This window comes from Homo sapiens, chromosome 16 (assembly GCF_000001405.40).
Source record: "Homo sapiens chromosome 16, GRCh38.p14 Primary Assembly".
Classification (NCBI taxonomy): Eukaryota; Metazoa; Chordata; class Mammalia; order Primates; family Hominidae; genus Homo; species Homo sapiens.
The window spans coordinates 79,293,881-79,317,825 of record NC_000016.10 but is presented as its reverse complement, the minus strand read 5'-3'; the positions used below and the strand labels follow the sequence as shown (position 1 = coordinate 79,317,825).

At 45.5% G+C, this 23,945-nt stretch overlaps 1 protein-coding gene across 5 annotated transcripts in view, besides 2 other annotated features; it reads left to right on the top strand.

The window, feature by feature from the left end:
* Window positions 1-23,945, top strand: part of MAF (MAF bZIP transcription factor) — a 398,116-nt gene that overhangs the window by 282,912 nt on the left and 91,259 nt on the right. The gene's annotated exons all lie outside the window — the stretch shown is intronic.
* Window positions 17,762-18,409: an enhancer, noted in NCBI's record as "OCT4-NANOG-H3K27ac hESC enhancer chr16:79333314-79333961 (GRCh37/hg19 assembly coordinates)". NCBI's record gives its function as "activates a minimal SCP1, AML or CMV promoter by ChIP-STARR-seq in primed H9 embryonic stem cells {active_cell/tissue: H9 hESC(primed)}" and the evidence as "EXISTENCE:reporter gene assay evidence [ECO:0000049][PMID:30033119]".
* Window positions 18,410-19,058: an enhancer, noted in NCBI's record as "OCT4-NANOG-H3K27ac-H3K4me1 hESC enhancer chr16:79332665-79333313 (GRCh37/hg19 assembly coordinates)". NCBI's record gives its function as "activates a minimal SCP1, AML or CMV promoter by ChIP-STARR-seq in naive and primed H9 embryonic stem cells {active_cell/tissue: H9 hESC(naive and primed)}" and the evidence as "EXISTENCE:reporter gene assay evidence [ECO:0000049][PMID:30033119]".

The window sequence follows — 23,945 nt, the reverse complement described above, 5'->3', positions numbered from 1 at the left end:
GAACTCTCATGCAAAGAGAAGTGCAGATGATGTCATGTGTCCAGTGGGCTAGCATCAGGTGGAGCCCAGAGCAAATCGGCAGCCAGGCATGAGGAATGTGGGGCAAGGACAGCTGAGAAAAGTGGAAAACAAAGCATCTGCCTCCACCCTAGGCTGTTCCCTCTGGGAGGTCAAGGATAGTGTTGGCTTAGTTCACTGTTACAGTCCTGGTGCCTGGAATAAGTAAGAATTTGTGGTAGAAAGGAAGGGCGGAAGTAAAGATGGAAAGAAGGAAGGAAGAAAGCAAGGAAGGAAGGAAGAGAGGGAGGGAGGGAGGCAGAAAAGAAAGGGAGAACGGAGGGAGGGAGAGATGGAAGAAAAGAGGGAGAGAGGAAGTAGGGAGGGAGGGAGGGAAGAAAGGGAGAAAGGAGGGAGGGAGAGATGGAAGGAAAGAGGGAGAGAGGAAGGAAGAAGGGAGAAAAGGAGGGAAGAAGGAAGGAGAAGAAAGGAAAGAAAATAAAACAAAAGAATGAGAGATGAAGGAAGGAGGGAGAAAAGGAAGGAAGGAAGGAGGGAGGGAAGGAAGGAAAGAAGGAAGGAAGGAGAGAAAGGAGGGAGGGAGAGATGGAAGAAAAGAGGGACAGATGAAGGAAGGAGGGAGAAAAGCAAGGAAGGAAGGAAAGAAGGGAGGAAGGGAGGGAGGGAAGGAGGGAGGGAGAGAGACAGAGAGGGAAGGAAAATGGAGTGAGGGAGGAAGGAGGGAGAGAAACAAAAAATCCAGGGCTGAAGTGAAGGACTAGGTAACTCTTGGCTCCATCTCTTACTTGTGTGATGTAATGCATTTTCATTTCTCTAAGCCTGTTTTCTTCTTTTGCTAAATAAGAGTAATGAACCTTCGCTAGGTGAATTCACGAGGTGCTTTACTTCAAGTGACTCCTACTTTGTTGGTGTCCAATGAACATTGCTTTCTCCAACCTCACCCTCTTTCTTTCAGTCCAGCATCTGAGTGTTGGCAACCAGCCCAGAGAGGAAGAAGGGAGCGAGTAACACCTATTAGTTTGGGTCCTTCCATGGGTGTCCTTCCTCTGTCCCTATCTCCAGGGGAACTCTGTAAGGCCAACTGAATATTCTATAAGACCCCTGACCCCTCATGTTTCATCCTTCCCCCAGTAACATTTCTGTTTCCTCTGAAGGCATATCTTGGCATGCTGGAAGAGATGGAAAGCTGTCTGACACTCAAGGGGAGTGACTGGTGGCACCTTCCAGTGATCTTTGGGTTAATTGCATGCTGAAAAAAAAGATGCTTTAGCAATTCAAAGAAGGTAACATTTATCCCATTTAGCAGAAGAGAAAACCGAGGCTCAGAGACATGGAAACCGAGAAACACATGATGCAAATGTTGGCGCTAGAGCAGGTGTATGTCAGGGAGGAGGCAGAAAGGTTTTACCAGTGTCCTGCAGACCACAGTGTGTGGGCAGCTGCCTTCTCCATTTATGGGTGAATAGAGCTCTGCGGAGAGATGCATCTAGAACATTGCACAAGCTGAAAGTTCTCTGGAAACGGAGTGTGGTGAGCTTGTCAGTACAATCTTCCCTGTTTTGGTCATTTGCTAAGTAAGGTTACCAGCAACTTCAAAGTAGTCTCCACCATCAAATTGGAAATGGAAAAAGCTCGCATTTTGGGTGAGTCACGTTCTAACAGGCGCCCACGCCTTGAGGTAGAGTCGGGCTCTGTTTTCACCAAAATAAACCCATGCTTTGCATAATAAGGTTATGCATGTTGGTGACAACTCATGAAAATGACAACAATTCTCAGTCACAAGCATGAGCTGGTCTGCCTTGCAAGGACCAGCAACTCGCACAAGAGGTTCAGAATGGCAGGTGCTATTGTGAGGACTGTAGTCCCTGAAGAACAGCGGGGACCCCCACACACCCAGGAGCAGATTGATGGGAGCACCAGGCATGCATTTCCAGATCTCACTGGAATTTTTTATCTTAATTTTTGAAGGTCTCCCTAATTAATGAAAAGGAATGTAGTGGAGAGGACGGGACTTGGGCTTTGGAGTAGGACAGCTCTGGATTTTAATTCCTGCTCTCAATAACTTTTTACTTCTCTGCCCCTCACCTTCTTCATCTATATGAGTAAAATGCCACCCACCCAGCATTGGCAGTGTAATTAAAACATAGGCTTTAGAGTCAGACAGAGTTGGATGTGAAACCTAGATTCATCACTCAGTATTAGGAACTTGGGAAAGCTACTTAACCAAGCCCAGCCTCATTTTCCCCGTCTGTAAAATGGGTACACTTACTAACAGCGTGTATTAGTATGTAAAATATTTAATACATGTGTGGCACCTATTAACAGCTCAACGATGCTCTCATTGGTAGAAGTTGAAAGAGTATAAATATATCTATAATAAATTTTATAATTAAAATTTGTATAATCAATAGATGTTAGTTTCTCTTAGCATTAGTAAAATATTTTTTAAAAAATTAAAATCATAGTAGTTTCAACTCTCCCCCATCCATTCACCCAATTTCATAGTCCCCTAACTGGCTTCATTTTTCTTTGTACACTTATCACCCTGATATGTTCTATGGTTATTGTTGTGTTATTGCCTGGCTCTTCCCACTAGAATGTAAACTCCACAAGGGCAGGAATGATATTTGCTCACTCCTATGTCCTCAGATCCTAGAACCGTGCCTGGCACATAGTAGATGCTCAATAATTGAATGAATGAATAAATGAAATAATGAATAATAATAAATGAATAAATGAAATTAATAATATAGCAGACAAAAGGTCCAGCCAGCATGTAGCACACAGCAAGGGCCCCCGTCTTCATTAATTCCCTGTGTCTCAATACTGCAGAGGAACAATGGAGAAATAATTGATTTTGCTTCCTCCTTGCCATTTCGAGGTCACTTCCTGCAATGGGGGAACTAGAGAAGCCCAAGTGTCCCACCGGGACTTGCTCTGAGTTTCCCTGAGGAGGCTCAGGGAGGCTCATGTCCCTCTGCCTTCTAGGAAGGGAAGGAAGTGGATGGAGAGGTGCATCGTGGGTAGAACTGGCAAAACATCATCTGGGCCTCCGAGCCTCCTCTCATTTCTAGAGGCCCTTAAGCAATGACAAAACAGAACCTTCTGGAACTTCCTAGCCATTGCTTTGATGACCCTCCAGGGGAACCAGCCGGCATTTGCTCCAGCTAAGATTCCTGAATTGGCTCTGGCTTACCTTGCCAAACTGGTGCTCACTTGACTGGGAAAATGTAGGGACCTGCCATCCCCTTAGGAAGCCCCTCCTCTGCTCTCCCCTCCATGTCTGCCTCGGTGACCTCCTCCCTGGGGAAAGCTGACCCCTGAGAGATAGAGTACAGTCCAGTGTTTGATGGGACATCTGGCCAGCTGCCTCACTGCAACCCATCGCAGACCCAGACTTCCATGTAAATGTTATACCCTGGGAGCGTTTCAGCCATTTAACCTGGCCTTAGGAAGAGCCCTGGGGTACTTATGAAAGGAAAAGTGGCCTGAACTGAGGGACTTTGGGAGAGTGATGGTTGCCAAGAGGAGGTCACCTCAAATGTGCTGCTTCTCTAGGAAGGGTGAACACCTTGCAAGTATTTGGTCATAAATCTCCATATTTCCTCATTCTGTTGACCATAAGACATGCCATGGATTTATTAATAACAACAGCTTTCCAGAGGCAAACACGAGGAAGGGCCACACGGAAATCACATCAGCATGAAGGTGCATCCCCGTTTTAGGAATGTTAAAATGTGAACTGTCCATGTCTTGGAATCAAAAAATTCTGGCCGCAAGTAGTCACCAGTCCACCAAAAGCTGCTGTATTCCAACGCCATAGTTTTCCCTGGCCTTTATTCTTAGTTATTTAATCATCGCAGACATCCTGTGAACGTAGGTGCTAGTCCACTTCATTTTCTTATGAACAGGCAGGCTCAGAAAGTTTGTGAGACTTTCCAAAGCTAGAGGAGGGAGTTCTGAGACTTACACCTCTATCCCCCTGACTCCAAGCCTGGGCCCTTGACATCTATTGGCTGGAAACCTGAGCTGAAATCCTAGGGATTTCTTCCCCATTGAGAGCGGAGTGAGATAGGCAAAGCCTCCTGAGACTGGGGCTTAGGGTTCCACAGAAGCAAGGCTAAAAGCAGAAGTCCTCACCCAAGGCCTTGGGGGATGCTAAAAGCAAAGAAACAACAAAAACTGAAGATTGAGACAGCTGAAAATTGTGGCCCCACCAAGGAAGACAGAGACAGGGGACTGACTCTTAAGATTCAGAGTGTTTGAGAACAAAATGAAAATGATAGGGGTTGTTCTCTTTGGGTGATGGGAACAGTCCGTTTTTACAGATCTGCTTTACTGTATTTACAGTGGGAGGTGATGCCTGGGGAACTCAACATCATGGACCTGGTCATGACTGGCCTTTTACTGTTGAGAGGGTCTAGTTTTTCAGCTTTGACCCTTGTTTTCTTATCAGGCAACCTCAGAAAAGCCCTTGTGCTCCTGTGTGCCGTTCTTCAGGACTTTTTTTCTTCCCCCTTCTGCTGTGCAGAAAAAATTAATCATGTTGTTAAGTGAAAATGTTGCCGTCTTCTCCTCTTTTTTTGTTAGCGTTCATTTACTGAGCCCTTGCCCAGTGCCTGTGTGCCAGGCACTGGCCTGATCACTTCCCAGACATGGCATTCGATCTTCGTGGCACGCTTGTGAGATGGGTATTAACATTCCCCTTTGCAGACGAAGAAACCGAGGCGCAGAAGTGCAGTCTGTGCATAGGTTGCTTCACTCTATTTGCCCAGTCTACTCTTCTCTGAGTTGAAGCCCATGCTTTTAATTGCATGCAACTTCTCTCTCCACTGTCCCCATCTCATCTCATCCTAAACTGGGCCGATGATGCCGTAAGTCTTATATTATCAGGCCACTTTTGGGTTTAAACAGCCAAACATAAAACAGACCCTTCCCCAGTTGCAGAGTAAGTAAACTTGCAAAGGTGCCTGTCTTATATGTAGCCGAAGACAATCTGAGTCATCAAATACCCTTATCACCGATGCAAGCGGAGATAAAGGAAGGCATGTTCTCTTCCAAGGGAGACAGGCACGAAGACAGGCCCTGCGATTAGATATGAAAGTAGCGGCTCACTGGGTTACAGAATAATTGTTGTGGTCACCTGACCTTGATAACTGACGTGTTTCCTTCAGAGACGGTCCTAGGTATTGGGCGCAGGCCTTACACTGTAAGAGCTAGAAGGAAGGAATTTCTGTCTCTCTGCTCTGGCTCGTGGAAATTCGAACAAAAGAGCAAACAACTGTTTTGGAGTCAGTCTGTGCTATCACAGAGAAGCCAATGGAGAGAGAAGTGCTTGGGGACGTTCGCACTGAGCCAGACCACGTGAAATGCATGTATGGAGGTCAGCTATTAAAATAGGAGAAAATCAGACACCAGAAAAGATAGACGTTAATGTCCTTTTACCTCTGCTTTCGTATTTAATGCTTGCAGTGACCCATCAATGTGGGTGCAATTAGGTCTGTTTTGCACATGTGTGCCTTTGTGTTGTGTATGCAGTGGAGGAGTGCATACAAAACTCTGTGCAGACAGGGACAGTTGGCTTCATGATGGAGGAATGTCAACTTTTACTCTGCATATTTATTTTCCTTTAAATTTGTATAAAAAGTGAGTATTACTTTTGTAATGATGATGATGATGATGATGATGAAGGGGGTAGAAGAGAAGATCAAGGGAAGAAAGGAGGGAAGGAGGCAGAGAAGAGAAGAAAGCAGAGTGAAAAATGAGATTGAGAGTTTTGCAAGCTACTCAAGGTCAAGCAGCCCAGTGGGGAAGTGGACTTTAATCAGCAACTCCCCCTCCCAAGCCCTCCTCTTCCCTCTCCGCCATCCTGCCTCACTACCATGGGCTAGTTGAGCACTGAGAGATTGCTAAGGGCTCTGCTGAGGTCCGTGTGCCCATTTTGTTCTCAGGGATGCGTTCACTCCGTCCTTCATGCCCACAGAAGTGCCGACCACTTTCAGGGTGTTGCAGTACTCAGTGGCCCTGGATTTGCCAGGTGTGGCATCAAGCTGAGACAGGAAAAGTGGGCTAAAGCACTTGGGGAAAAAACCAAACATCCAAGCTGTGGAATTGAGTCTGTGGAGTGAAACGGCAGAAATTTCTGGACTGAGAACTGAATGCAGAAAGAGGCGCTTTGAGTCCAACCTGGGCTTGGCTGCCTGCCTCTCTTTCCAGCTGAGCACCCCTCATACTCACAGTACCCCGACTCATCCAAAGCCTGCAGTGAAAGCAGCTGAGGGCAGACATAATGTTTTTTTTTTTTTTTTTTAAAGAAAACAATATTCCCATGCCGGTTTTGTAAAACTGTGATGCCCATTTGCACAGTAAATCATGCACATTCCAAACAGCTCTGGAAAACTCACATTAGCCCCAAAGGGTCGCAGAAAAGGCTGCTGGACAGATGCTTTCCTTTTCAAAAAAGAAGTAGGAAAGGGCCAATACCTGCGTGACACTCTCTGGAGCCAGAAGGTGCAAACTCAAGCTGGTTTAGAGGGGAAAGAAAAGAGAAAAAAGGAAAAATGAAGTAGGAGTGGGAAGCTTTTTGGACAAAGGCGTATTTCCTTTCTCCTGCGCTTAAAGCAGCTTAGAGCCCAGAGAGAGGGCTGCGGGAGGGAGAGAGCCTGGCGAAGGAAGGGAACCCAGGTAGAAATCCAGGTTAAGAAGCCCCTGAGACACCACAGAGGGGAGGCCAGTGCTGAGGGAGTGGGTGTTTGAATTGGGTGCATTTTGCAGAAAAAAAAAAAAAAATGAAAAAGCAGCCGCAGCAGCAGCCAGGGTGGAAGCTCGCGCTCCTGGGAGCAGTGGAGCCAAGGCAGTTAGCTGAAGCAGCACAGCCCTCACGCTCAGCACCTGCCAGCCAGCAGACTCTGCCAAGAGCAACTTGGTACCAACTTCAATAATATCGCAATTCAGTATTTAAATAATGCGACAAGACTCCTTTGGAACACGACCAGGGACTACTCAGGGCAGTAATTTTCCTTTTAGCAGCAGGAGCTGAGAAGCTACAATTTCCCAAAGATAACACCACTCCACCCTGCTCTGGAAGAGCCCAAAATGGCCACAGAGGGAAAGAGAAATTCACCAAGGCGAGCCCCCAACAAAAGAAGGGATCTCAGTTCGTGACCAGGGATGAAGCTCTTTGCAAAATGTCGCGGAGGCGGATACAGGAGCCTTTGTTTCAACCCACTCGGTGGTGGTGAGATGAGCCACCTCTTTGGGACAGCAGTCCTCCCATCTGAACTCCAGATGTGAAAGCAATAAATTACTAAAGGTGGTCAACCTAGGCCTGGGGAGCAGGCGTTTCAAGTTGGCCTGGTTCTTGAGCGTATTTACAAAGAGGCTTTTCCAGCTGATTCTCTCTCTCTGTCTGTCTCTCTCTCTCTTACTCTCTGTCTCTATCTCTCTCTCGTCCGAAACAGCCATAGCCAAAGGCATCCTATGGAGTCCTTTTTGCAAATAGATGACTTCTTTCTTAGTTGATTCTCACTAACTTTTCCCTCCCTACATGCAAAATTACAAAATGAGACCGTGAGGGCATTTTGCGCTCCCGTGCGTGCACCAAGTCAGGGATTGACCTCATGCACAAAAGGGTGGCTGAACCTTGTGCCAATGACACTAAGATTGTATATTGCCCAGTTCCATTAAAGGAAGGAAATCGGGGGGGAAATGCTCACGTTTTTATTAATTCTCAGTGCTGGGAGTTCATTCTTGATTTGATATTTTTCCATATGTTCTGCTAACTGACCGCTGCTTGCCATGTGATGGATAATGCCCTTTAAGCCACGGTGTAAGTTACAGTAATGTCACCAGGCTATTAACCTCTGAATATTTGCATTAGTCAATTTTCTAAGTCCTTGGAGTTAAAGCAGCCACTGAGATTTTTTATTTCCATTTTGCAAGAGCTGGGAGCCGAGTTGTGGGGCTTTCCCACAGCATAGAGGTACAGCAAAGTTTTCTCAATTTGCTCTTCCGGTTTTGTTTAAGGGGAGCCATCTGCATCACATGCCTGGCTGGGAGGGAGATATGCTAATGACCACCTCGTAATTTATGGTGGAAGTTTAATACAGGGAGCACACTTCTAAACAACTCGACATCCGTTCCCTCTGTGGATGGGGACTCAGAGATTGTTGCACTATGGAATCTGTATTAAAGTGGAAACATTTTGTCTTTTGACAGGTGTTATGAGCCTCCTTTAAAAATGAAATATTTGTCCAGATAAAATATTCGTGCTCTGTAATGCAAGGCAATGCACCAAAATCTAGGGCAAAACCGTTTACATATAAAAACCAACTTGAATATGAAAACGTAAGTTCTCACTAAGGTTGCTCAGCGTGTAGCAGAAAAGAAGTGGGGTATGAGAAAAGCAGACCTTCTGGAGAGATGAAGGTGGGGAGGCCAGAGAGAACTGCAAACCCGACAAAATGGTAACCTTAAGCGAATCTTCTACAAATAGCCAATAAAGGCAATTATATAACAAGGCGCTTGCAAGCAGCTGGTCATAGCTCAAGGCATCAGCCAAATGAGGCCAGTCTCCGAATTAACAGGGAAACTCCCTACCATTACACCATCACCCCTTCAGCCTCAGTTTTTCCTGTATCATGGCTTATTGAAGAGCACCCCTGTATCCAAGGCTTAGATGGAACACTGACTTTGCACTGCTATAGCCTTTTGTTCCCTTCCACCTCCCACCTCTCTCTGCGCCCAGGGCCAGATTAGAGCCTCAACTCCTTCATATCACCCAGGTTGCATTTAAATATTTCCAGCTACTGTTCACATTATGTTACATCCATAAGTAACTTCATCTATGTTACTTCCATAAGTGGCCCATCACCCCAGAAGGGCCCACGCTTTCTAAAGGCAGGAGTCCTATATTCTCCCGTCTCCCAGATTCCCATTTCTGGGCGTTAGGAAAGGAGCGTGGACCATGGAGAGGACCCAGGTTCCAGAGTCAGGAATTACATGGCTTTGTGCCTAGATCTGCCACTTTCCAGCTCTGCAACTTTCTAGCTCTGCAACTGTGGGAAAGTTGATGCCAGTTGTCACTCTTAAAACTCATAGCATTATGTGGGGGATTAAAGGATATGCTTGTCAAAGACAGACATCAATACATTCCCAGGCAACTGTTAATAGGGCTTCAATATTTTGAGATGTTGACGGACAAGATGCTTTTGCATAACAGAAAATTCCTACACAGAATAAAGCATACTTTATGATCCCAGGCTTTTGCTAGCATTTCAACACCTCATTTCATTGGCTGGTCCCTACAATTCCATGGGGGCAAATACCTTTTCACCCCCATTTTCCTGATAAGCAAGCAGAGGCTCATTGAGGTTATTTAGCCTGCCTGCAGCCACACAGGCTGTTAAGTGATAGAGGTGCCTCCCAGAGGCCAAACTCCTACCATCCAATGGCCTCTCTGAAGTTTGGAGGACTTTGTAAGTTAACACCTTATCTTCTTAAAAGTCTGGTTCCTCACTTAACCAGGGCCTTAGTGACCAAAGTCCCTGAAGCATGGCCCAATAGATCTGATCATTCCAGGTGTCTTAAATGATCAATGTGGACCCGTGTTGGGTCAATTCAGCTGCAGTGATCCGTATTGATTGTCTAGACAGCTCCATCGATTGGGTCAGCAGGGCTGTGGGTCTTCAGGGACACCATAGATATGACACAGTCTGACCCTTCCCAAGGCTCTGTCAGATATTATCACCATTGTCATTAAAACAAGGGAAACTGAGGCACAGGCAGGTGGTCTCATGGCAGATGAATGAATTTAGAGGACAAGGAGGTAGTTCTGTTTTTGCAAATTCCAATCCAATATTTATGACAGTCAAAGATGAGTGAGTCAAAGGGTAGGTTGTAGAGGAACTGCTTCCTGGGGCCTGTTGGGATTTTAGGAATAGCTTTCTATAAAATTCAGTCTCTTCGTTGTTGGCTTACGATTTGGTGACCACAGTGACTGTCATTCTAGCACAATCCAGGGCCTAATTATTTCATATTTTCCTTATATGAGATCTACTTGAAGGCTTCATTCCAGAAAAACAGGTATGGGGAGAGGGGAGATTCTAATTTAGTCTAACTAGTTATCTTGCACATTAGTCCATTGTGTGGTTATATATATTTTTTTCTGTTTAAACATTTGCCAGACAGTATTGTTAACACCATTTTTTTATAGTAAAGGGTAGCAGTGAACTCTACTATTTTCTCATTTTATCGCCCATCATGTCGGGGGCATGTGATTGGATGTGTGTGGGGTATTTCCTCAATTCTGGTTTCCAACAGGCACATGAACTGCAAGCGTCCTGCAATCATGCAGAAAGCTGCTGATGCGTTGCTTCTAGCCAGGCTCGAAAGCAGAAGTCCAGCCCGTGAGCTCATGCCCAGGGACCCGGGCTGTGCCTCCCACTGAACAAGGGGACCAACCACGTCTGGGACCTCAAAGCCCTTCCTTCCATTCCAGGGCAGGGAAGAAGCCCAGGCTGGGCCAGCTCCTAGGGCTACGAGTTCATGGCAGGAGCTTATGATAGGCAGGCCCTGTGGTCAGCTCGTGTGAGGTCAGAGCCACCCAAGCCTCAGTCACCAGATTCATCTCAAACCTCCCGTTAATGATTTATGGGAGGGTTTCATCTCCACATGGACTGCGGAGACCTACTGTCCCTGTTTCTTGAGTGGAAAAAGAAGGTCAGGTTTTTGGGATCCATTTTGCAAACATACCCTTCGGATGGCAGGAACGGGATTTGAGTGATGTGCAGAAGTTGGGAAACACTGATAACAACAGAAAAGACAGCAGATTGTACATATGGCATATGCTTATGATGCTCCCAGCACAGTCTTAAGTGCTTTTTCACAAAATAGCCAATTTAGTCCTCAAAACAACCCTGTAATGCAGCTACTGTTATCATCTCCATTTTACAGGGTAGGAAGTTAAGGCACAGAAATGTACGTAGCTTGTCCAAGGTCACACAGAGAGACTGCCTCTAGTCCAGTGTCACTACTTTATGTTGAAGAGTGAAGCTGTCTATGAGGATTGCCCAGCCCAAGATAAGAACGAAAGTGATGATGATGATGATGATGAACCTGCTGGCAATCATGTGAGCAGTTAACATCTACTGAGCACTTAGAGTGTGACCAGAGCTAAGCTGATGGCTTTCCCCCATAGTTTTTCCTGGAAACTGGAGATAGATTTACTTTCCTTCCCCTCCTTTATCCCATACATCCAATTCATCTGCAAGTCTTATTACATCTCATAATACCTTGTAAGCCACCAACCTCTCTTCCTCTCTACCAGGAGGCCAAGCAATGCTCCGTGGGTCAGGGGCTTACCCTGGTAAGTGTATCCTTAAAAACCTACACTAAACCTTACATATTGTAGGCACTCCATACATGTGTGTGGAACGAATGAATGAAGGGCCTGGTTTCCTCATCCATTACAGCCTGTGAGGGTGGTACTGTTGCTGTCTCCATTTTGCCATGAGAAGCAGAGATTTAGAATGGGAAAATGGCCATGTGCATCACACAGGATTACAAGACAGGACAAGTCAAGCAGATATTTGACGCTTTGGGGCAGTCCTGCATCTGATAGCCTGTCTCATTTCAGGGGAATTTATCATCTTAAGAAAGCATAGGAGGCAGAGACTCCCTTTCCAATATTGGAGCCCTAAAAGGCCAACGTTACCTTTTCCAGCCTCCTTTGGAAGCTAGTGGTCACATGACTTGGTCTCAGTCAATTGAATAAGATACAAGAACCTAGACTTTGAATGTTACCAGTGAAGCCAAAAAATGACAAGAGGGGCATGCAGAGCTTGGGGTGCCGTTGCTGGAGCCCAGGGTCTAATACAAGCCAGGACTTGGGTGGCAGAAAAGCATGCTGTGGTCCCAAATAGTGCAAACGCAGTGGCTGTGAAGCCTGCAGCTACAGAAATGGTCTGGCAACGTGATTCTCCCTTCTGCCTTGAATCCCTATTTCGTAAGCCTCCTTTTCCAGCTCTTCTGTGCATCCCCCATTGACCTTTCAGTAAATTCCTCTCTCTGCTTAAATCTTCCAGCGTCGATTTCTGTTGCTGGCAACAAGAACCCGTCTATTACAGCTCAGGTTCAAAGCGATGTCTTATCCACAGACCCCCAAATTGTATCCAATTTATCTATTATCTCTCTGGTGCACCAGGAGGGTCTAAACTCCCCAATCCTAGTGCAGCCCCTCCCCATGACCAGTGGAGGTCTCACAGCCTCGTTTCCCATCCACCTTGCAGACCCTCAGCTGTGAACCACAGAGAATACCAGGGGCATCTCTGAGGAAGGTGCACTCCTCAGTCACACTCCCCACAAGCCCCAGGGAGGAAAAGCATCCAGCACTTTGCTCCCTGTCTGTTCCAACAGTAGATGGAGGTTGGAAGTAGGTTGGGACTGGAGCAGCAATACCTCACCTCTGCAGTCCTGGTGCCCCTGTGCAGAGCACAGGCGGGTCGGTAGTGGATATGCTCGGTAACCGAGCAACTGCAGCTTGGCCGCCCGGTTCTGGTGGGAACCGTCAGGGCCTTATTCATCACTGAGCCCAAGTAATAGAAACAGTTCACCTGCCCCGGATGACTCTCCCTTCCCCTGCAATGCTCCCTGGGACCAGCCCCTGGCCTGCTGGCATGACCTTGTTTCTTTGGACGTTCTAATACAAGCCGAAATGGATATTAGCTGTAATTACTCATTCCACACGATTCTGTAGGCCGCTCTTTGTACCAGAGTTGAGAACCTTCATTGTCCACATTGCTTAAATTACTGAACATTGTGCCATCCATTCTGAATTAGTGCTCATTAATGAGCTGGTGGTTCTAGAAACTCCCTATTTATTATTAAGGCGCCAAGTATAATCCAAGCAGCTGCATTGCAACACCACTCATGTGACTTTTGATCTGCCATGGAAAGAAATGATAAAACACAAACACGCAACTCACATTTATTAACTTTTTTGTTTTTGTGACCAAAAGTGTAATGGACACAGCAATAATCATTTAGTCCCTTTTGGTCCCTAGCTTACAAATGGCACTTTTTCTCTGAAACAAAATATGTATGATTAGGAAGCGAGTGTGTTTTTTAGGGTCTGGTTGTCTGGCTTGATGTTTAAGAACTCCCACCACCATTTTTCATAATCTTCATACAGAAAACACCTTTCTTTTTCTTGCTCTCACTGACTTATCTTTTGTTCCTTTTGTCTCCAACTTATGGAATCAAAAGGGCTAGTTCTGGTAGTGAGACCAGACCCACAAAAAAGGTAAAACAAAACAAAAATTAATGGTAAAACAAACCATCAAAAGAGAAGTCAAAATTCTATTTTTTAAAAAAAGACTCTGGAATGGGAAGATTAAAAACCAGAGTCCACATTTCCTTTCTGCCTGTTATTACACAGTAATACGATACAGTATCACCCAGTGTCCAAGCGGTATAACTGCATCATTAGCCCGTGTTACAGGATCAGCATTTCTCACTGGAGGGGCTGCTTGCCTGGAAAGGGGGAGGGAGCGATGCTTCCCGGGCTGACATTGATGTCTCTGCAAGGACATTCTGCCAGGGTGCGACAGGTCACAACCAAATGGATTGCTCCCCAGTGGGCTGGACTCCAGTCACATTGTCAGGTAAACACAGAAATATTCTGTCTTCGCCTGCCAAGCCTTGTCAAGTATCTGTATTTGTTATTGCATCTTGGGTCCCACAAGGTTCCCACCCATATTTCTTTATAGAGGAAATGCAAACCATATGCTTTCGCCTTATTTCCACTGAATGTATCCAAACACTCTTGGAGCCAGGCATATTCTTTTGCAATGAGTCTTTTGAGCGAAGTGCATCAACCCTTAACCTCTCTCTTTTTTTTCTCCCCGCATTTTGACATGACATAAGTTGATTTGACTTTCTGGTATAAATTACAGGAGTCTTTGATAGATCCTAAACATGAAGTGAGTTCTGATGGTCCTAACTTGCTTTTTCTCTGCTTGTTTGTTTTAATAAACATTGGCTTGTGGCAGCAGATAAGTAATATCATGGTCTGATAACCAATTATAGCACTCTTTCTTACGGGTGTGCCTCAGAACCCTTCTCAACACAGTACTCCTGACAGTCTATATGAATTAATAGGCATCATTATTTGCCATGCCAGTGGAAGATGCATTTTTGAAGCCATTCGTAGGCACTGGGTTTGGCCAACAGCCTTTGGAAGAGGGCATATTTCTCCAGGTACCAGAAGCCCTGAGAAACAGAAGTGTGAGACAACGCCTAAGGTCAAAGGCAAGAGAGAATCTAGCCTCAGCAGGGATCATTCTTGAAGAATTGCTGCCTGGGTAGTGTTGAGAGCCCCGTGCTTCCCACATTGCACACTCTTTGAAGAAGTAGGCAGTGCCTTTAACTTCCCACTGCAATCCCATGCCAGGCTCTGAAGCTATCATAAGCCCTGCTATTTATCTGCCTGGTGAGGCACAACACTTACTTATTAAAAACATATCTATCATGGTTAATGACTTGATTTTTTCCCTTTAATACAGTACAATGACAGGTGTAAAGAGAAGATGAGAGTCAGATGCTTCTGCAATATGCTTCCAGCTCTAAGATGTCTAGAACATCAGCCTTCCTCCACAGTGCTGGGAGTGGGGACGCCTCCCACCCCCTCTCTCCCAACACACACACATTCACACACACACACAGATTACACGCTTGTGTTGGATGGAAAATCGTGCCATTTGCAGTTTCAGATAAAAGCATGTTTGGGTGCATATGGAAGGTACCGTCAGAAGCAACTCCGGAGTGCCGAGTAAAATGGGTCATTAGGCTTTTGTTTGTTGGAGAGTGTCTCCCATCTGACAGTGCCGAATGGTACCACTTTTAGCAGCTTATGTTCCCAGTTACATTAAACAGACAAACAGATTGACTATTTTGCATTTCTCATTTGACAACAGCTTGTCTTCATTTGCTGCACACTGGTGGCAATGCTGAAAGCATGGTGGATGACTGTCGCCAAGGTCCAGGTTTTGAATAACAGCAAATGCCAACATTTAACTTCAAAATCAATCAATTCTTTTTCCTGAGTATGGATAAAAGGTCTTCTAGAGCGCCTGCAGGGGGATTTGTGCTGTTTACAGCTGAAAACATAGAAGCCACATTCATTACCAAACTTTCTGCAAGAAATAACAAATGTGGGTGTTTTTATGAAAGGAGGTGCTTGGAAGAAGAAGCGTTTTCTTGGAAGGGAGAACGAGAGTGCTGCCTGCAACCAGGCAACTTGATTTGAAGGTGAACTCTTTGGAGCTTCACTGATTAAGGCATCAGCCATGTGGGTTGATCTGATTCTGGCACAAGGTATTAACGTGCAGTGGCAGAAAAGAGTCGTTTTCACACTGACCACTTTTCTTGGTAGCCTGTGTCCAGTGGGCTAATTAAAAGCTTTCTCCAAGTGGGGGACAGAGCATTCATTGCTCATTAGAAATTAGAGAGCCCACAGCCTGCTTTAAAGTCAACCAGAACGTAATCCAGTGTCTTTGTGTCTCCAACTCACTGGGCTCAGATTCTGAGGCTCTTCGAGAATGGAGTCCTGAGTCATTCCAAGCAGTGGTCTTTCCAACACATCTCGTGGCTACCAGGCTGGATCCCAGCCCTCGCCTGGCACCATCACTGAGACCCCAGGTGTAGGAAGGCGTGTCCTAGTGGCACTGGAGGGATGCAGGTGAGAGTCAGGCCCTCCGCGGAAGTCCATCTGGATGACCTAGGTCATGCCTATCTGTGAGAGGCGGTGATCTCAGTGGTTACAGCCATCAGGCTTCGGCATAGGACGCACCCTTGTGCAGCTCTCAACGTTGTGCTCAAAAGGCTGTGAGACCTTGTGAAAGTAACCTAACTTCTCTGAGCCACTTTCCCCACTAGTAACATACAGATAATAGTGTAGTTTCCATTTCACAGGGTCATTATGGGGATTAAATAACAGCAAGTGTGTAAAGCCTATAGCATCATACCCAGAGCACAGTAAGTGCTCAATGATGGCTACATATGTGTGTGTGTAAATGTATATGCACTTTATCATATATGTGTGCTTTATACACACGTACAACATATATAGTAAAATACATTATATGCATGCATATATGTATGTGTCTATATACACACATAGATATAATAAAATGCATATAAATTAAATGAATAAATGCATTTAAATGTAAAAAATTAAAATATATGCATAATAACTATGTAAATGCATATAAAACATCCTCACGTAGTCTCATCCCTGCGTCCTATCCAAGAGTCAGGACTAAGACAGTCTCCCTTTGGCCTCCTCCAGCTTTGTCATAGAAAGACTCATTCCCTCAAATGGGGGGAAAAAATGCACTTCCTTAAGTTGTATAACAAGAGCAGCTACTAATTGAGCTTCCGGTTCATGCATGGAGGCACACTTACAATCCACAAACGCAGCTTGAAGTGGATATTAGTGTCCAGGAGTGGCCTCACCCAGGGTCTCGCTGGTCAGCAGGCTAGCGGGCATTCAAACACCAAACGCTTCCCCCTGTCCCGTCCTCCCCAGGACTGTGGGGTGTCCTTCATGCAGTTAGGAAAACAAATCTGACACCTGCGGGCCACTTCTCCTGAGGACCCGACTTGTTTCTCGTGTAGCAAGAGCAGCTGGAGTTTCCTTTCCTCCCTACCTGGACGGCTCTTTGTTGAGACTCCGCTTGGTTTTCGGTTTTGTGTGTGTTTTTTTCAGGGGACCTATTTTGTGCCTGAGTGTCCCCTCCCTTTCCTCTCTTTTATTCCCGTCTCCTCCCCCTTCTGCCCCTCTGCTGTCCTTTGCTTTCTTCTCCTCTTCATGTGTTGATCGAAAACCCACACACAAGCATTTTGGTTTGTATAAAAACATGCAGTAGACCCTTTACTTTGTAGTAAATTTTTATTGACATTAATACAATGGACTTCTGAATAATCTCTTAAAAACAATAAAAAAACTGAACACAAATCATTGCTCTTATCTGCTATATACACACATAGATAACATATAATAAAATGTATATAAATTAAATGAATTTTTTTTGTCTCTCCAAAAAAGAAAAAAAAAAAGAAATGGGTTGTTTTTGGTTTTTGTTCTAATTGATTTGGTTTTTATTTTCATAATCTTTAGGAACTTGCAAAAACCCTAGTATAATCTTGAGATTTGAGATAAGGGTGTTGTTTGTTTGTTTGTTTGTTTGTTTGTTTTGAGATGGAGTCTTGCTCTGTCACCAGGCTGGAGTGCAGTGGCCGGATCTCCACTCACTGCAACCTCCACCTCCCGGGTTCAAGTGATTCTCCTGACTCAGCCTCCTGAGTAGCTGGGACTACATGTGTGCACCACCACACCCGGCTAATTTTTGTATTTTTAGTAGAGACGGGGTTTCACCATGTTGGTCAGGCTGGTCTCGAACTCCTGACCTGGTGATCCACCTGGCTCGGCCTCCCAAAGTGCTGGGATTACAGGTGTGAGCCACCGCGCCTGGTCAAGATAAGGGTCTTTTAAGAGTTAAGTCATTAACACACAAATAGCAGTCAATAAATGTTGTCTATTTTTAATTTTTTATTCCATACACCTATCTAGCTTAGAAACAATCATTAGCCATTATGCCTAACATGACATAAATAATAACTAACATATATTAATACTTGATCCTCCCATGACCAAACATTTTTGGAGCATGTGCTTTTAGCCATGAGCTATCCTGGGTGCTGCGGAAGAGACGCCAGGTGGGAGCCATAAGGAAGGCTCCCTAGCCTGCACAATCACTGATGCTCTCAAGTAAGTCACAAGAGGTGGACAAGCTAAGCCCAGTGGACAATGGGTCAGAAAGCCCTGTTTGCCAAGAGTTCGAATTTTTAGGGTGAAAGAGATGGCTCTGGGCCAGAGTGGCTTAGCAGAAAAAAGGATAAAGCCTTTTAAATAATCATATTCAACATCAACAAAGGAGAGAGAAAATAAGAAAGGAAGAGAGAGACTGTGGCCATGTGATTGGAACACACGGGCACCCATGTGGAGCCAGGAACGAAAAGCATTGCATTAGAATAGTCAAGATCAAGGTGCCTCTGGGTTGCCATGTCACTGTGCCATGTCACTGTGCAGGACGCTGGTCTCAGGGGCCCTCCAGGGCCTCACTTTTTATGCCTGGAATGCTCAGAGCAACAAAATTTGTTGAGGGGTGGGGGCAGACCCACCGGAAATAACTCTGAAAAAAAAGTAACCGTCAATTGAGTTTCCCTCTCTTCCTTGACCCCCCTCCTTCTCCGGCCACCCGCTTGTCTGCACAGTTTGCGCCCAGGCCTGGCATTTAGGACCTTTTGTTATCTTAATAGAGACTGAAACCTACTTTGGGCCTGGAGTTTGCTGTTTTAATTCAACAGTGGAAGGTTGTTTTTTTTCTTTTTTTTTTTTTTTCTTTTTCTTTGTTTGTTTTTCTTTTCCATTTTCTTTTTCTAAGCCTGGCAGACAATGCGTTTGCAGAGCAGAAGCTGTGAGCTAGGCGTTCCTGGGATCCTGAACAAAACCCGCATTAATGGGAGGTGGGATTTCCTGGTCACAGCTTTTAGCCAAAGGGCAAAGGTCGCCCATTAACCAGCATCCAGTCTAAACAGGGCTGTATAAAATGACAGCAGAGGAGGGAGAAAAGGGTGAAAAAAAGTCAAATATTTGCTCTTCATTCTCAAGTTAGCAGTTGGGGCTTGTTGCCGCCGAGCCCCAGTGCCCATCAGCACCACAAGGTGCCCAAAGAAGGATTCCTTAGAAGGGGCCACTCCACCAGGAGCAAGCATTGGTGGGCCAGGCGCTCAGGGGGCTGAGAGGATCGGCCTACCACACAATGCTTCCCAACCTGCCTTATAGCCCTGGAGGCCTGTCTGCCAGAACTTGCTGGGCGATGGTACAGTTTCCATTTGCTCCCCTGCCTATAACCTCTGAGGGGCCTCTGGAAGCCCTCCAAAGCCTGCAAGGCCCTGCTGGGTGTCCACACCAGCTTCCGTCACGTCCGCTCTGCCCTGGCTTCACCCAAGTTCAGCCCCCAAGGCCTTCCGCTTCCTGTATTACGCCCAGCTCCATGCCACCTCATGACCTTGGCACTTGCTCTTTCCCATGACAAGTGAGTTCTTCCCTGGGTCTTTGCATGCTGGCTTCTGTTTAGTGCCCACTCTCCTGCATTTCTGCCCACTGCTTCTTAACCTGGCTGGAAGAGAGGCCCGTGATTGGCACCCTTCAAACTTCAGCTAGGAATGACCCTCCTCTTCCCCTCCCCAGTTGGAGCTGGTTGTCAAGGGAAATATATGGTTGTTATAGTCCTCAGATTGGCCAAGGGAGCTTGCAGGATCTGTATCCCAGCATTACACAAATGTAATCCCCAGCGAAGAAAGTGCTAGACCATTCAAGCCTTGCAAACAAGAGGTGCCTCTGTAAAACTTAGGATAGACAGGAGCAGAGCAAACACACCTGGTTTGTACAGGCAGGTTGATTCCTAGAACTGAGGAGGGCTGCTCTTTTCCTCACATTTACTAGCCAGAGATGCCACATCTCCTTTCCTGGGGACGCAAGTCCCCATGGGCAGAGAGAGGCTGGAATGTTATGCAAACACAGGGCTTCTCAAGCTCCGCCTGAGCTGGCTTCATCAGTGTGCTGCCTTGCAGTGGCACCCGGCCCTTGGTATAATACTCTGCTGTCATTGCCTTGACATTGTTAATAATTTCAAACAAGTAGCCCTGCATTTTCATTCCGCACTGGACCTTGCTAATTACATAGCTGGTCATGACCTCAGCAGCACATTAGATCACTTGTGAAGGTTTTTGCAAATATTAACTCCTGGGTCCTATCCAAGAGATTGGGATTTAATTGGGTGGGGCTCCCCAGGTGACTCAAGTGTGCAGCCTGGGTGTGGGCGCCCTGCTCTACAGAACAACCCTATAGATGGAAAGAAATTGGAGGTTGGGGAACCCATGTTCTCCCCACCAGTCCCTCGCATAGAGAAGCCAATGGCACGCAGCCCCACATTTCCACAGAACTCCATGTGTACCTGTGATAGCACTGAGACCACTTTATTATCATAATGTGAAGAATGAGAATGGTAGTGTTTACTGAGTGCTCACTATGGGCCAGGCACTCTACTAAGTACTTTTCTGTATCATCGCGTTGGATTCTCACAAAATCTATAAGGAGAGTCCTGATCTTCTCCATTTATAGCCGGGGAAGCTGAAGTTCTAAGCAGTTCAGTAGTTCGCCCAAAGAAGCACAACTACCAAATATGGTCAACTTGGGATGCTACTTCCTCGTTCACAGTCTGACTTTGTTACAAAATGGTGCCACCCTCCAAGGCGTGTGCACTTCCTTATCCATCCCTGTTTTCATAGCATCAAGCCTTGCCCACAGTCACCGTAGATATTCATTAAATGCTGAATCAATTCTTCAATGAAAGCATTTGCCGCCGTTTTGCTATTTTCTCTGGGTGGAAAGCTTTACATTGCTTTCAGTGCTATCAAGAGTAATTGCCAAGAAAAAATTCCTCCAAAGTACTTTTTCATGTTGTCTCATTGGATCCCCTTTGCTACCCCATAATATTAGGATGGCCTTGCGTTAAATGATGGAGCAGGGCCTTATAACATGAGGTTAACATCATCCAGACTGCATCCTCACAAATATTATCTGGAAAAGGTGACTGGTTGGGAGTAAGAAGCGACTGTATTAAAGCAGGGCCCTCAGGCAGACACAAGGGATGTCGCCACAGAGCAGCAAAGACACCGTGCAAAATGTATGTTCCCTGCCATTGAGGAACAAATTTATTCCATAGGGGGATTTGCTTTTTCCAAAAAGCAAAGTTTTGTGCCCGCACAGAGGAGAGTCCACCCACCAGGGCATTGAGAGCAAATGAACGACAAGCTCAGAAAAACACACGAGGGAAAACTGAACTTCCTCAGTGGCCTTGAACTGCAGAGGGTAATGCTAGGTGGTCTGGAAGAGAAAATAGGCAGAGTGTTTCCCATTCATCTCTAAGGTTGCTGGGCAGGGCCAGTTCTGAGGCCTGAGGTTTCTGTTTCCCTTAACCCTGGGGCAGGTGAGGAATTAGATCAAGACTCTAATGTGGTCAAAAGACTTGAAGATCCGGGAAGTAAAAAAAAAAAAATTACAAATCTTTGAAACACAGAGTAAATATACTGTAACTAGGAAGCTGCCGAAATGCCTATTTATGAAACTGATTTTTTTCTTTTAAAAAAAAATTATTTTATTTAAGTTCCAGGATACATGTGCAGCAGGTGCAGGTTTGTTACATAAGTAAACATATGCCATGGTAGTTTGCTGCACTTATCAATCCATCACCTAGGCACTACACCCCGCATGCATTAGCTATTTATCCTGATGCTCTCCCTACACCCTGCCCCCCGACAGGCCCCAGTGTGTGTTGTTCCCCTCCCTGTGTCCATGTATTCTCATTGTTCAGAGCTGATTTTTTAAAAAGATTAATCCTTCCAACCTGTATAGGTCTTTTAAGCTTTCACTATGTTCTTAGACTGTTCCTGAACAGATCTATAAAATTAACTTTATTAGGTACTTGCTTCGTATATAATAACTTATTTAGTCCCACAGTGATCTATGAGGAAGAATTTACTATAATCCCATTTTACAGATAAGGCTAAGAAAGAGCAAGTGAGACGATGCTGGAATCAGCTTTCGACTTTCTTTTCCCATTCCACAGCCATCAGCCCACATGGAGGACTGATTCAGCCAGAGGGGGACAGCCCCACCCATGGCTGTCTTAAGGCAGGTCTAGCTTACAGACCGCAGGAGGTGAGGTACTGACTTTAGGAAGGCCCAGAGCAGAGCCCAACAGCAGAATGCAAACATTGCTGATTCTTGTCCTAAATGCCTTGGGCAAAGAACGTGGCTTCAGTTTCTCATCTGTGAAACGGGACTGCCAACAGCCCCTGCCTTAGGAGCCACTGGGAGAATTAAAATAGGGAAAAGTTCTTGTGGACCACTTACCACTGTGCCTGACACACAGGGAAGCCCCCAGTAAGGGTCTCTGCCACTGCCCAGTGGGAGACCCTGCTTTGTGACACCTTCTCCAACGAGAATATGTCTTAGGGCTCATTTGCATTAAACCTGGTCAGGTTAAGTTAACAAATTTAGCCTAAAAGCTGCCTCATTACATAATTTAAGTTCAGCCTAAAGGCTTTTCTGTGCATCATGAACTATAACAAGTGGAGGTGTAAACAGACAGTAGCCCACACATGTGCCAATCACTGAGTTTTGGCCAACCAAATGTGCCAACTGTTCAAACCATGTTCAAATAAGGCAAACACCGAGCTGTAACCAATCTGGCTTTCTCTGTACCTCACTTCCATTTTCTGCACATCACTTTCCCTTTTCGCTCCATAAATCTTCTTCCACCACGTGGCTGTGCTAAAGTTTCTGAGCCTACCCGGACTCAGAAGGCCGCCCGATTCACGAATCATTCATTGCTCCATTAAACTCCTTTACATTTAATTTGGCTGAAATTTTTCTTTTATCATTCCCCTGGTGTGTAAACAGCTCCAAAGACTGGTTGAAAACGCAGCAAGGAGTGTGGGCTGAAGCTCTTGAGGACCTCAATAGCTTCAAATATCTAACCCAGTGATTTCATTTGTCTTATTTATAGACAGCCCCCTGCCCCCTCCCCCACCCCCAAAAAAAGTATATTTAGAGAGAATTACTTTTGCTGCATTAGCTTCTAGCATTATTAACAACCTTTTTCTTGTAACCTGCTCTAGGGGGAAGTAGACTGTTTTCAAGGGGAGAACGATGCCTATCTTTGCAGAACTGTGACAACTGATGGAAACATGAGAAACCCTCCTTCTTTGTTCCTTGTTCCATGTCTGGAATGCCAGCTGAGCAGTTCAGTTGATTCTTTTAAGCTGAGTTGATGCCATGCTGTTGTAGTTTGGTTGTGGTTTGATCCCTTACTCGGTTGAGGTTGCTCAATGCTGGATAGAGAGTTGGCCCTGTGCAACCAGTGCAGACTTTGGAACTAGATAAACCTGCATTTGACTCCTCCTTCTCCCACTATCTAGCATGATAGTGGTGAGTTCCTTAAGCTCTCTGAAGCTAATTTCCTCTGTAAACTATTAAGAATATTTACCTAAAAGCATTTGAGTCAAGGATCAAATAAGATACTACTTCCTGATAATAGTATACCTACGTAAATATTTCCCAGGGATTACAATACGGTAACAATTAATTCCAAGACAGCTTCAAATTCTATCAGTGGCATGAACTAGGGAGCATCTGAGCCAGCTTCCCACCTTGTCAGTTGGAGACAGTGACTGACCCAAGGTAGCCCACACTCACTCTTGATCACACGTAGTCAAGAGCTTGTCTTGAAGGAGAGGAACTACAAACAAGCCCTATTGATCAAAGAAACAGTCTTTTATAGACAGTTTAACTCTAACAGCAATGATTGTCATAGTTCCCCAATTCTATTCTTTGCTCAAGGAAAAAGGACACATATACAAGAGTCTAAGAGGAAGGATATCAAGAAAAGTTCATGGGAAGGATTGCATGACTCAGGAGCTCTTGATATTCAAAGAATGACCCTGACATTATCCCCAAAGAAGCTGAGATGTTGCTTTGTCCCTGAATTCAAGTCCCTTCAGAATTACCTCAGAACACTCGTGCAGAAGGTTCAGTAGATTACCAGGTAGATTGTGATGGAATCTTAATTACCCTGGGGGCCACTGCCTCTTGCACAATCGTGGTATCTTACCTTATTACAGCAAATCTGTGGGGAAAATCTCTCCACTGGGCCCCATCCAGGCAGTAACCTACCAACCGTGGAGTACATGGGACTGAAATTGTCTGATCACATTCTCAGATAGAGACAAAGCCTGCTTTT